This window comes from Homo sapiens, chromosome 6, assembly GCF_000001405.40.
Source record: "Homo sapiens chromosome 6, GRCh38.p14 Primary Assembly".
Classification (NCBI taxonomy): Eukaryota; Metazoa; Chordata; class Mammalia; order Primates; family Hominidae; genus Homo; species Homo sapiens.
Window position 1 is genome coordinate 79,070,041 of NC_000006.12, and position 13,333 is coordinate 79,083,373.

General features: G+C 37.0%; 1 protein-coding gene and 1 long non-coding RNA gene across 4 annotated transcripts in view, besides 4 other annotated features; one reads left to right on the forward strand and one right to left on the reverse strand.

Moving 5' to 3' along the window:
- LOC124901346 (uncharacterized) overlaps positions 1-7,226 on the forward strand; it is a 73,415-nt gene extending 66,189 nt beyond the window's left edge. The window contains exon 2 of the long non-coding RNA XR_007059652.1: positions 851-7,226. This is a non-coding gene — a long non-coding RNA (uncharacterized LOC124901346). The remainder of the gene's footprint in view (positions 1-850) is intronic.
- Positions 1-8,214, reverse strand: part of PHIP (PHIP subunit of CUL4-Ring ligase complex) — a 143,836-nt gene extending 135,622 nt beyond the window's left edge. For all 3 annotated transcript variants that reach the window (XM_005248729.6, NM_017934.7, XM_011535919.2), the window contains exons 1-4: positions 7,989-8,214; positions 7,815-7,873; positions 7,660-7,689; positions 7,408-7,467 (exon numbers count right to left, since the gene is read on the reverse strand). In XM_005248729.6, the coding sequence (XP_005248786.1) occupies positions 7,408-7,467; positions 7,660-7,689; positions 7,815-7,873; positions 7,989-8,028 (189 nt within the window). In that variant the 5' untranslated portion in view covers positions 8,029-8,214. The remainder of the gene's footprint in view (positions 1-7,407; positions 7,468-7,659; positions 7,690-7,814; positions 7,874-7,988) is intronic.
- Positions 6,933-7,432: a silencer, noted in NCBI's record as "silent region_17345". NCBI's record gives its function as "represses an Ori minimal core promoter by ATAC-STARR-seq in GM12878 lymphoblastoid cells {active_cell/tissue: GM12878}" and the evidence as "EXISTENCE:reporter gene assay evidence [ECO:0000049][PMID:35858748]".
- Positions 7,932-8,101: a silencer, noted in NCBI's record as "silent region_17346". NCBI's record gives its function as "represses an Ori minimal core promoter by ATAC-STARR-seq in GM12878 lymphoblastoid cells {active_cell/tissue: GM12878}" and the evidence as "EXISTENCE:reporter gene assay evidence [ECO:0000049][PMID:35858748]".
- Positions 8,232-8,471: a silencer, noted in NCBI's record as "silent region_17347". NCBI's record gives its function as "represses an Ori minimal core promoter by ATAC-STARR-seq in GM12878 lymphoblastoid cells {active_cell/tissue: GM12878}" and the evidence as "EXISTENCE:reporter gene assay evidence [ECO:0000049][PMID:35858748]".
- Positions 8,592-8,641: an enhancer, noted in NCBI's record as "active region_24767". NCBI's record gives its function as "activates an Ori minimal core promoter by ATAC-STARR-seq in GM12878 lymphoblastoid cells {active_cell/tissue: GM12878}" and the evidence as "EXISTENCE:reporter gene assay evidence [ECO:0000049][PMID:35858748]".

Below are 13,333 nucleotides of genomic sequence, written 5' to 3' on the forward strand. Positions count from 1 at the left end.
ATTACATCTTGCTAAAAAAAAGAGACTCTATTCAGAATTGAGGTTTCCATAAACCAAAGTAGGGATGCTCCATAAAAAATAATTTAAAATACAACAAAATGACAACATTTAACTGCTTAAAATAACAAATTTTCAAGTTTTGATGTTTAAGTCGTCATATGTGCTAATTTGTGTAATTTTAAAATTCTCTTTAAAGCATTATTAGTAAAACGTTAAACTCAAATCTAGGAATCTGATGAAAAGTTACTGTGTATTAATTTAAGGACGAAACATCCTTTAACTGCTTATACTAAGGCCAATGTAAATAATCTTGAATGACCAGTTTCATTTTTAATGTTTCAGTTTCAAGCACAGTACTCAAAATAACACAATTCTTATACAATGACAGCAAAGTTGTTTCAGACAACGGATGTTTCACTAAGTTGCCTAGAATTTAGTGTCTCTACACCCAAAAACTAAACCAGAGTCAAACACAAGGTATGTATTTCTTGCATTATACTATAACCTTTCCCAAGACAAGTTACATGCCTTTTTCTATTCATGACAGAGACCAAATAGACCATGACACATGACCATGGGTCAGCTGGAGTCCAGAACACAGTCATCCTCCAATCTTCATGGGGGAATGGTTCCAGGAAACCCCACACCAAAATCAAAATCCAGGATGCTCTAATTCCTCATATAAACTGGCACAGTATTTTCGTATAACCTTTACACTCCTCCTGCACACTTTAAATCATCTCTAGATTACTTATAATATCTAATACAACGTAAATGTTATGTAAATAATTGTTACAATGTATTTTAAAAATTTTTTATGTATTTTTTTCTAAACTATTTTGATCTACAGTTGAATTCACAGATGTGACACCCGCAGATAAGGAAGGCCTGCTGTACATGAATTCTTCCTGTGTCTCTTCTGCAAAAAAACCTGCCATAGCCATCTGTACTGTCATGGATAACCTAGGGCTTACCTATACCACACATCTCATTCTCCTTACAATTTAGTTTTAATATAAGAAGAAGCTGCATTCGACTATGTTGCCACCTAAATTTTCTTATCAAAAACTCCTCATCCAACCATCCTTTTCTTACCTGTGATGCCTAAGCTCAAATACGGCTGTTTTTGAGTGTGTAAGGTAAATAAAGGAGGACCTGCCTCACAACTGATGATTGCCTTCTCTGTAGTAACTTGTCAACTTACATTCATCACTATTCAATAAGATAACAGTTTGTGATTTTTCAGTACCCTGCTTTATCAAATTCCATCAAGAAAAAACATGTTATCATTTTCACCAATTTGTTATAAAATACTTACACTCCTCTATATTCCATAGGTCCAATAACATTATTCACTGCAAAGTAATTTATTAACTCACAATTTCCTCATAATTTCATTGACATAGCTTCTCAAAAAATAATAGAAACTGAGAATGTTCACATTTAAAATGTCTTTCTAAAATTTTAAATTTGATTCCTATAATAGCCTTTGCCACTTTTAGATATAACCACAAAAGCAACTTAAATATCCTAAAATTAGCTGTTAAAAATTTTTTTCTAAGTAAAAGTGCATTAAAATAGGAAGTTATTTTAAATAAGTATGTTTGGTATTCTCTGGCAACTAAAGGCTACTTAGCTTAGTATTACAGATATTTTTCTATGAATTCTGAAATTTATACAAGGAAACTACTAGTAAGAATGAAACTAACCTATTTAGTATTACTTGTTCAGAGTAAGTTGTACAAGATACATTTTATTTGTTACAATTCTGTAGTGACATGGTAAATACCCACAAAACTTGAGAAAGGGAAGAATGACTGTCAATTGGTTTTAACTTAAGCTGAAGCTGCATTAGACTATTATTATTATTATTTTCTTATTATTCATCCACAACTTTCCAGATTATGAAAAAAAAAAAGAAAACCAAAAACTAACTTACAAAGAAATTCTGAATCAACTAAAAAACTGAAATCGGTTAGGATTTATTTTACCTAAAGCTAAAGTCTTTCTTGAATTCTGTTTAAAATATATATAAACAGATTGACAAAACAGAAGTCAAGACATCTCTTCTCTGACAGTTTCCAAAAAGAATACAAACTATTGTGATGGTTGTAAATCTCACAAATAACTGTATAGAAGGAGGCAGACGCCATAGCCAAATTCTCTTCATATATTCCTAAATGTCATTTGATGATTACCCAAAGAAAAAAAGCTTTGCATATTCTCTAATCCATTCAGGATATGTCAACCACCCAAATTATTTCTTAATGTTCAGTGTTCCATAAAAACAAGTCACAGTAGAAATCAGTAGCACAATTTTTCCAGAGGTCTATCCACAATGCCTTAACCATGATTTATTTTTGGTATTAAACATTTTTCCTTTATTTTTTAGACCTGTTTCATCCTTGAGTCTATAAAGTAATTATAGTATCTTCCGAAGATTTTTTTTTTCTTTTCTTGAGACAGGGTATCACTGTGTCACCCACGCTGGAGGGCAGTGGCATGGGGCACAGCTTATTGCAGCTTCAACCTCCCTGGGCTCAGGCGATCCTCTCACCTCAGCCTTCGGGGTAATTGGGACTACAGGCATGCGCCACTACACCTGGCTAATTTTTTTTTTTAGTTTTTGTAGAGATGGGGTTTTCCATTTTGTCCAGGCTGGTCTCCAACTCATGGCCTCCCAAAGTACTGGGATTACAGGCATGAGCCACCACACCTGGACTCTTCTGAAGTTTTAATGTGGCCTTTTTATACTGCAGATTCTATGTTCAGAAAGTATATACATACTTGTGCCTGGAATAAAAATGTAAATGCTTTTCTTAAAGAAAACTTTATTATAAAGCTCTAAGCAGAACAACCTTTACTACCACTACTAAAGTTCTGATAATAGCAAACCAAAACCCTTACATAGTACTTGATTCATGCCAGTTATTACTCACAGACCACACAAAGTAGAAGCTATTATTAGCCCATTTTACAGAATGGAAAACAGACTCCCTCAATACGATTCTGCCTCACAACAATCAAATAAAAACCATTATGGTTTGGGAAAGGGACATTCCAGCTCCCGCTTTATGCTCATGCCGCTTTACAACTATTTAAGAATATTAACAATATAGTAAGTATTGCATTTAAAAAGTTTGTAAATGCCTCAAATTTTAAAAAATGGTATAAGCATCAATAGAATAATTCTATATGTAAGAAAGAATGAAGAATGCTCCTTCAGCCTCTCAGCAACATATTCACACCTAACATTTTATTCATCATATAACCCTTCACGCCTAACATATTTTATTCATCATTATAACGACCATATGAGATTAAAGCTGTTTTAGAGACTACCACGCAAAGCTTCTATTTCATTGATACTCTACTAAAAAAGGAAATAGTAACTCTACTACAACTACACACATTTACTTTATTACATGTTCACCCAACCCCAAAAAATTATAATAATCAAGTGTTGAAACTATGTTATCTTCAATATAGAATGGGAATCCCTACTTCTAAAACATTTAATATGATATCTTTTTTTTTTCCCTGAAAGTTGTCTCTAGGTTTTATACCTTAACTTTCACATTAATCAGCACACACTAAATAAATGTATACCTAAGATATATACTTAAATAAATCCTATCCATCATTCCTATTCATCTCTGAATTTGAGACCAACAATAATGAAAACTAGTACTTAAACTATGATGGAAATCATGGTAATTTTGGGGCATTTTACAACGTAGTTAGTGTCTCAAATCATCTTTGCAACAAGAAATGATATTACCACCAAAGAATGGCACTATGAAAAGCATTTATATAATTTTGTAACCTATGTGATTTCTACTTTTCTGTGTTTTGGAAAACTAAGCTCTAAGAATGAAATAAAGCTTAGTTCTTAAATACAATGTACTGCTATTTCTAGTTCAAAATCACAGATTTTCAGATTGAAAAAATTTCAATCCACTTATTTTTCAAATGAGATAACTGGGACAAAGAGAAATTCCATGACTTGCCCAAGATTACCTACAGTTTAACTGTCAGCGGGGCTTAAAACCACAATCCACATCTCCTGACTCCCAATCCTTTCACTTAAAACAAACAAGCAAACAAACAAAAAAGATTTCTAATAAAGTGGAATAATTTTAAGAAAGGCAAGTATCACTATTTTACAAGGAAAAAATTAAATCATTTTAACAGATTGGCAAAACATGAACTAGTTCTTGGGGGGAAAAAAGAGAAGTCTTACAAGAAAAAATGTAATCAAGAGAGTGCCAAATTCGGTAAAATGCTTGAAAATTCTGCCTCTAGATCTCGTAAATATGCAATCATCATTAAGTGACAACTAGAAAGCAGACTTAATAAACTAACTAGATTCACTATTCAAACTAAGAAATAAACAAATGACAAAGCTTTCCTTTCGTCCAAAAAAAGTTTTTTATTCTACAGTTTAAGAATTCTGATACTTGGAAAAAGTGCCCCTTTTCTTTAAAATAAATCTCATATTTTAAAAAATGTAAAATCTAATTAAACGTATACCATAGTACCAAAAACAACTTTTAGCTTCCTATCCAATTCCATTTACTTTGTTAAAAATGTTTTAAATCTTAAGGTAGATGGTGATAATCAGTCATGTTTTATACCAGAGACAGAAACAACCATAAGATACGACCATTTCCTTTCTCAATCACACTTGAAATGAACGCATCAATTTTAACCTGCAAACTTTTAAAACTGCTCTTAAAATTCTACTTTCCTCTTGATTAAAATTCAACCATTGCGATTGTAACTAGACTAACTACAGATGATCAGTGACTATTTTTAAATTCACATCTACAAATATTACACCCCATTTTAAGCAGCAATAATTTGAGGTTTCCTAGAAATTTCAATGCGATGTGATATATGAGTTCTCCCATTTAAAATATTGCTCAGTTTATTAGTTAATACAACAAATCATTTCCAGGTAGAGTAGAAACTAATGACTCAACAAGTAATTTTCAAATCAATGTTAAATAAATTCAACTCGATATACAACAACGTAAAACTTTTTAAGTCAGAATAATTAAAATAGAAAATACTGTACAAGAGACTTTGCATGTGCTGACTTAGATATTAAACAGCGAGATCAACTATTGAACAAAAAAATCCAGTGTTCCAAATGTTTTTAGACCTAACTAAATCTCAACTAAAAAGGTAAAATAAAGTTAACTCACACACCTAGATATACAGTTTGATGGATGAGAAAGCACCTCAAATGGTACCTTGCATCCAGTAGATATAGAGTAAGCAATATGCTGAATGAATGAAAAGAGAAAACGAGTCAAAGAACTCCAAGTTCTAATAAGATTTCTAAACTGTCTGATGAGTATGCCAACGTTCCTGTTCTAGTAAGGAGAAAACTCCAAGCAAGAAAAACCACTTCCATTCAAAATAGGTGAATTTTGAGCATAATACATAGATAGAAAGAATGCTTACTGTATCTTAAATCTGCGATGCAGACTAGGGATAGAAATTCACTTTACTAATAATTCCTCCCCCCACCCTCCCCCCAAAAATTAAATTAACTCAAAATCAAAATTGATAGCTCATTTTTACTGAAAAAAAAAACAAAAAAACAAAATGATATTCCTACGAGGATTAGCCATTACCATAATTTAGCCAGATAACATTAAGCTGCTTCATTTAAAAAATGTAACATTACCAAAAGATTAAGAAAATGCAGCATTCCTCAGTGACTTAAGGTTTGTGGGTTTTTAAGAGATGCACAGATGTAAAAGCAGATGCAAAGACGAGTTTTGTAAAACCTGCCCCATCTTAAAAATGGAGTATTATAATCTTTGCGATAATTTTTTCAAATATCAAGGAAGACATGTAAATTCACTGAAGACTTCTATCAAGTATTTGTAAACCTAAAAATTAATTTCAAATTAGTAAATCTTGGAGTTTACTTCCAGCTCCATTCACTTTGGCCAAGAATTGAATGAAAGTAACCCAAATCACTCCTTGAAAATTAACACACGTTCAGTGTGAAAATGAATACACTAATACACTGTTAAATCTCCATTAGATGTATTAAACCTCAGTACCCTTGCTTATTTCAACAGCCTTGAGCGGTTATCAACATCTTATATTAAACCACAAGAGATTTATACACAAAAGTTAGGAAATACACTACATACCAAAAAAAGCGCCATTATAATCATGTCCTGCTTTCACCTCACAAAAGACACTCATTCTAAGCTCGCTGAAACTTCCTAGTCATTAGAGAAGTTCTGATGAAGTAACATTAGTAATCATAACTATCTCAAAACAGTTACAAAAGCCTCATAAAATCAACACACTACATAAATTTCAAAGGCTTGGTGGGTCCGGTGCGACTGCTTTAACTGCCCCACACACATATTCACACAACGAACCTGTATCAGTTTAGGAGAAAGTGTTACAGAAAATATAGCTCCTTTAAAGTAACTTCCAATCACAATACTGAAGTGATAAATCCACTTCTGAAAAGCAATTTTTAAAGATTCCTAAAATACTCATTTTGACAACCCACAAAATTAAGGTTTTTAAGCTATTAAACAAAATATGTCCCAATATAAACACAACTTTCATAGGCCAAGTTCCATCCCACAGTAAATATGTGGACAAAAATCAAAACTCTTCAGTGTACTCCAATAATAATTTTTAATTAAACGAGAGGCATACCATAAGAATTAAAAAAAGCCTACTAAACTTCTGGTTTTAGGGAATTACAGGCTTTACACTTCTGCAAAGATGTGTTTTAGTAAATGCAAGACGAAGCACTGACCAACTATCATCACACATCAGAATCCTTCCAACAAAAAACCCAGGACTGAATTTAAGGAAAACAAAATAAACGACAGAGGGGGAAAAAATAATGTCTTGCCACGGTACCGCAGCGGCTGGATAGCCTGCTTGTGAAATGCTAATGCCACTTCGGAGCAGTTAGTCACCAGCTATTGTGTAGGGCAGGAGAAAGCCGAGCCGGCCGCGCGTGCAGAGCGAGCAAGCGAACGAGCGAGCGCGCTCTCCCTCTTCGCGCCGCTCCCGCCGCCGCCGACTCTCGCGCGCCCCCGCGCCCGCACGGACGCGCGCGCCGGCCCCTCCTCCTCCGGCCTTGCACTGCACAACACTCATGACGTATCTTTATTTCTAGCACATTAACAAAATATCACAAATAAATTGTCCGCAGCCCCTGCGGCCCCGAAGTACGAGTACCCCCGGCCACTGGCCCCCGCAGACCCCGCGCCGGCCTCCCAACCCTCCCCATGGCCTTTGGAGCTTTCACGTTCTAGGGCCAAGTTTTTGTCTCTGTAAAAAATTGCGGGAAATTCAATTTTTATTCGACTCAGGGAAAAGTTTCTTTGCTCTGCGACGTGAATGTCTCACCAGATTCTGGTAGGTCCTGGGATGCTCCTTCCCGGTCCAGTCGGTGCGCCGGGGCAGCAGCTGCGGGGAGAGGACACCCCGTGAGCCCGGCCCCCGGCCCCTACCCGCCCGCTCCCCTCCCCCGCCCGCCCCGCGCCCCGGCGGGGACCCCGAGCCCCGCGCCCCGCGCCCTGCCGGCGGCGGCAGCGGCGGCGCAGCGGCCCAGAGGCGGCCGCGCGGCGGCGGGACGCGCCGGGCCGCCGCCGCCCTTACCTCCTTCTCGGCCACCTCGCGGATCAGCACCTGCAACAACAAAGCGGGGAGAGCTGAGCCCCGCGCCCCGGGCCGCGGCCCCGCCGCCGCCGCCTCCCTCCCCCACGCCCGCGAGCGGCGAGCGCCGGCCCGGCCCGCGCCGCGCGCCGCCGTACCTGAGCCGCCTGCTGACAGGGTCCATCTTCCAGGAACCGGGCGATGAGGAAGTAGAGCTCTGCGCGGGAGAGAGGGACGGGGAGACACACAGGCTGAGCGGTCGGGCGGCGGGGGGCGGGGGACCGCGGGCGGAATCGCCCGGTGCCAGCGGCCCCGGCAGCCCCCCGACTTACCCGATCGCAGCTCCGAGAGGCCTTTCCTCTCACAAGACATGTTTATGGGTCACTTCAGGGCCGCCGACGGGACACCCCGCCGCCGAGGGGAAGCGGGGACGGTGCCGCCGCCTGCCCTATAGCTGTCAGTGTGTGTTCACGAGCCGAGCTTCGGCTCCACCATTCAAGCAACGGCGGCGGAGGCGGAGGAGGAGGAGGAGGAAACAACAACTCTCAGGCAGCGACTACGGCCGTGGCCGCCTCCGCCGCGGATCCCTCCGCCGCAGAAAGGAGTCCGCCGCCTTCGCGGCCCAGGGCTCGGCCCCGGCTCTGGCCCGCGCCCCCGCCCCCCGGCGCTAAAAAAGGAGTGCCTCCGACCCCTCGTCCCCAGCGCTCCGCACGCGGCACAGTGAGACCCCCACCCGCTCCTCCCCGCAGGGCGTGCGATTTATTTATTTATTTCCAGTCGGAGAAGATGTCGGAGCCCAAGCCGCCGGTTGGCTGGAAGGCGCTTTCTCTGTGGAGGCCGATAGTGGCAGGGAGGGGGCCGGGGACGGTTCCGCGGAGGGATCTGACGCACACGGAGCCGCAGCACAGGCTCTATTCAGCGGCGCTGGCTGGAGCTGAGATGGAAGTTAGTTTCTATGTAGCAGAAATATGAAACAAATGAAGCAAAACTGCCCAGAGAGGGGAAATGCCCCAAGGATGGGTCTCACTCACGCGCGTACACAGACACACACGCAGAGAGCACTCTCACGCTGGGCAAGCTCGGGATCGCGCTACCCTTCCCGAGTTGAATGATAGTGTTTGGTTTCTGTCTCTTGCCATGTGCATGTGTATAAATGCTGCGGATTGGCATCTGTGTAAGTCTTGTCCTGCGTTATTTCTGCAGCCTATGCAAGTGTTGTGTAATTTATTGGAGTGCTGTATATTGCAATAGAGGTTTGGGCTGCTTTTTGTTAAGCACTTGCGTTTTGCAAACCCGTTATTTGCTGAAGCCACCTCTGCATATTTCTTTTATTACTGCCATTGCCTTTGGCGTACGTTTTTTAAATGTTTTTTATTGTTAAACGGGCAAAGCGAACTCTTGATTTGTACTTCAGATACTCTTTTTCCTTATTACAAAAAGGCTAGTGATGGCTAATTAGGTATTTGGAATTAAAGAACCTTAAAGCTTTTTTAAGTGTTTACGAGAAGGGAGAATGTAAACCTGAGGGAAAGGAAAGGACGCTAATATTCATGTCTAACTGATCTGGAGGTAATTTAGTGACAGATCGATAACCTGCCTAAGGATATTGAAAGAGTATACTACAGTTTAGCCAAGGTGAATAGTGATTAAATAATTTAAATAATCTGTGTATCTTGCAGTTGACTTCGTCATGCTAATTAATGGCTTCTAATTTGAGATGTAAACCATTCCTGTTTACAGTTAATCACGGGAAGACTTCTTGAAAACTGACGAAAAGGAGAAAAAAAAATCTTTCGTAAATTAGTATGTAATTACCGATTTTATATGCTAAATCATACATCTGTGTTTTGCTGATGAGGATAAGGGCCTTGTTTTTAAAAAAACGAATATGGGTGAAATTAATGGAAACAATAGAAAAAGCCATTTGTTAGAAAACAAGGACACCAAATGATATTTATCTCCAGATGATTTAAGCACTTTCCAAAAAGACTTGAGAGTTCAATATTTTTTAAGGATTGCATTTTAAAGGGAATTTGGATAGTCGTTCTTTTGTTAACATTTAACAAAAGATTCTCCTTAAAAATGTTAGATAATAAACTGCATTTTATGGGTCTGGTTTAAAAAGGTTATTTGTGGGGAAAGGACCAACAAGCTGTATTGTGGTTTTCTAGATTGTTTCCTCAAGCCTTGTAACCTCCTAGCTCCTTACATTCCTAGTGGGAAATACTTGCTGCAAATGCCTTGGGCTGCACTGTAAGCCCAAGTGTGCTGCACCAGTGTGATGCCCTATACTAAAACATCCAGAAATCATCATACATATGAGGAAGAAGAAATAAAGCCTCAAACCCTTTGGAATAATAGGATATAAAATTGCCTTTTGTAACTGAATCTTAAAAATGGAAGGTTACCATGACTTGTCCTATTGCAACCTGGTTATCAGAATAACTTATTTTTTTTAAGATAGCTATTCTCAAATACTGAACATATTTGCATCTTTAAAGACACTTTATTCTATTCAATTATAGGTAAAGTAGCCTATTTCTAGGTGGTTAGGCTTGAAAAGATAGACTGAAAAGATAGGAAATTTTGTATGCCTTTTTGCAAATTGTATTTACTTCTAAGACCGATGCTGTTTTAGCTTAACTTTTAAAAAAGTGTTCTTCAAATAATTGTAATATTTTACACGATCTTGAAGTTCTTCAAATAAACAGAGTTTAGAAACTAAAAATTATAGTGGGATTTTCTGGTTTTGAAGGCTTGGAATGTATGATTCTTACTAATAGATGTTTTATTCTTGTGATTGAAAATAAACCAAATTATGACATGGAATATAATATTACTCTGGGTAAAGTTTGTGATATATATCTTCTGTGTGTTTTGTAAACATAGAAAACTAGCATGATTATCTCATATATTCTTTTCATTTAGAAGCCACAAAAGCTTTCACCTAAATATGCTACTAGTACTTAGCTCCTTAAAAATTTTTTGGAAAATCCCCCTCTAAGTTTTCTAAACATGATGTTCCTGTCATTTTGATTGATTTTTGACAGTGTTTATATTTCTTTTTCAAATGTCCAATATGCAGATTGTTGTAACCTTCCCTTTGAACTATTGTCTGTTATAAGAAAATATACATTACCTGCTAAAAATTAAAACTTCCCTTCAGCCAAATAAACTATTTGTATTTAACAGTGGATATTGAATTGAATTTTACTAAGTCCTTTAAATGTAACAAATACTCCAAATAGCCCTTTTAATTTTCTTAAACATAAAAAACATTTGTGAATTATAGCATTGACAGTTAACTGTAAGATTTATTAAGTTGTTTATTGTACTTGTTTATGTACAAAGTCTGTAAATATCAAATAGAAAGAAAAGTCTTATTTGGAAGTTCTAGATTTTAGTTCCCAAAGCAATGATCCTTGCAATTTTTTGTTCAGCCAACTCTTTTGCATATAAGGATAGTTCAGATTCCATCTATATCCTTTCCTGTTTGTTTATTTTAACATTTTTATGGGTTTCCAAAAATAAAATATCACTTTAAAAAGATCTCCATGCAGTTTAAATAACAAGGTTAACAAATAATAGTAAAAGTTTGGAAAGCCAAGACCTAACGTTTTTACATAATATAGTCTCTCTAGGAGATATAGAAACTTTTCTTGAAATATAAAAGTTTATGTGAAATTCATCACTTTTCACGTGGCAACACATGAAACAAAATAAATATTTAACAAAAATTTTGTCTTGATCTTGTAAGCTATTATTCCAATAAAATAATCAAATACTATCATTTCAGTTGTTTCAGGAACAAGATGGGATGGTATTTATAAGTACAAAAATTATACATTTATGAAATTTAATCTCCAGTAGTATGGTGAATAATACGTAACTCAAAAAATCTCTATAAGTACAACTTTTAAAATTTCATGTTAAATCTTGCTTTTGTTTTGATGTTACATTTCTTCTATAGCAGAAGCTTTATCCTGTGAAATACAGAAATGTAAAAGTAGAAAACACTGTTCTCTCAAAAGTACTTTAAAAAAAACTACTCATCTGCCCCAAGAACACAATACAACTGTCAAGGATCTTATTTAACAAGCCACACTCCTCACTGTGGCTTGCTCCCCAATATTGTGTGTTTCTGTCCATGCTTATCTGACTTTCTCTCTCTCTTACACACACACACACACACACACACATATCCTTCTTCATAGAGCATGAATATTTATCAGATTTGAAGCACATGAACAGATATACTATTTGGCTGCTCCAAAAAGAATAGAGATAACCAACTTAAGTGAGCCATTCCATTATTTAACAATGTTTTTGTTATTTAACATTAACAGTTCTCCCTTATATCTCACTGAGGAATCTTTTTACTTAAATTAGAGCACGTTTCCTTTTAATGTGTAACAAATATAGCTAGTCCTCAACAATCATGTTATCCCTTATGTATTTAAATGTTAGTAATTCACTCAATCTTTTTTATCCAAGTTAAATAATTCTAGTAGTTTGTATTTTTATAAGTCTTAATTTGCACAAGAAATACACATCTTCATGGGTTTATTTATATAGTTTGTTTTAAATGATCACTTCATGAGTTTTAACAGTACAATTACAAAGATTAAAGGAGAAAAACAATTTTAGAACATATTCCCCTAAGATTTGGAGCAACACAGTGGATGAAGCAGAAAAAGCTGTTCCAGATGGCAGGAAACATAAAGGAGAAGTCTGTAGGCATGTTCTATCATAGGAAGATGTCTGATGGACTGGGAGTGGGCTGAGTTGAACAGAGAACAGTGAAAGAAGAGAAGGTAAAGTGGGGGAGGGGAGGAGAAAATGGGTGCAGAGGCTCTGGTAGTACACTATTATCTATGCGATGTTAAGATGGCATTTGAGAAAAACAGTTACATAGTCACTTGCCTTTATATGTGCCTAAAGCCATAAACTTCAGGAACCCCAAAGAAAAAGCATTTTAGTTATAGAAAAGGAAGGGAAAGTTTTATCTGACAAATAGTGAGGAATCTATACAGAGTAAAAATAATGGATATCAAGGACACCAAAGTAGACACTACTGATGACAAAGAAGAACAGGTGTTTGAAAGAATAAGGACTGAACATTCAGAGCACTCACAAGTCTGACTTGAGACTCATATATAAGTTCTAATTCAAAATTAAGAATAAAGCAACTTAGATTTAACTGTAACCAAAAATACTCTATTTTCTGAATTCCTATAAGAGACCTAATTATACAATCTAATTTGTATATTATTTTTGTTTTTCTTCATATATGGGGATGTGTGTGTACTTGCGAAGGTCCCCCTGACTTATGCCTCTGTTGCTTTATTCTCTTTCACAGATATTCTCATACATGTTTATTGAAACAATGACTAGCTATTACAAAAAAATTAGTTATATCATAGTTAAAAATTTAAAACAATATTGATACCAGGTAGATCTTTCAACCAAGATGTGTGTGCTAAAATTTAAGAAAAGCTTATAATTTGATTTTAAGATTACACCTACAAATCTTGTTACACTAACAGTTTTCATGTTTACACTTGAGTGCCTAAAAATACAGGTGCAGACGAAATGGCTGGAGTGGATTTTTAAATGCTCATCAAAATTTACCAACTGATAATGATTTATAGACAAACTATGATAGCCTTTAGATGGA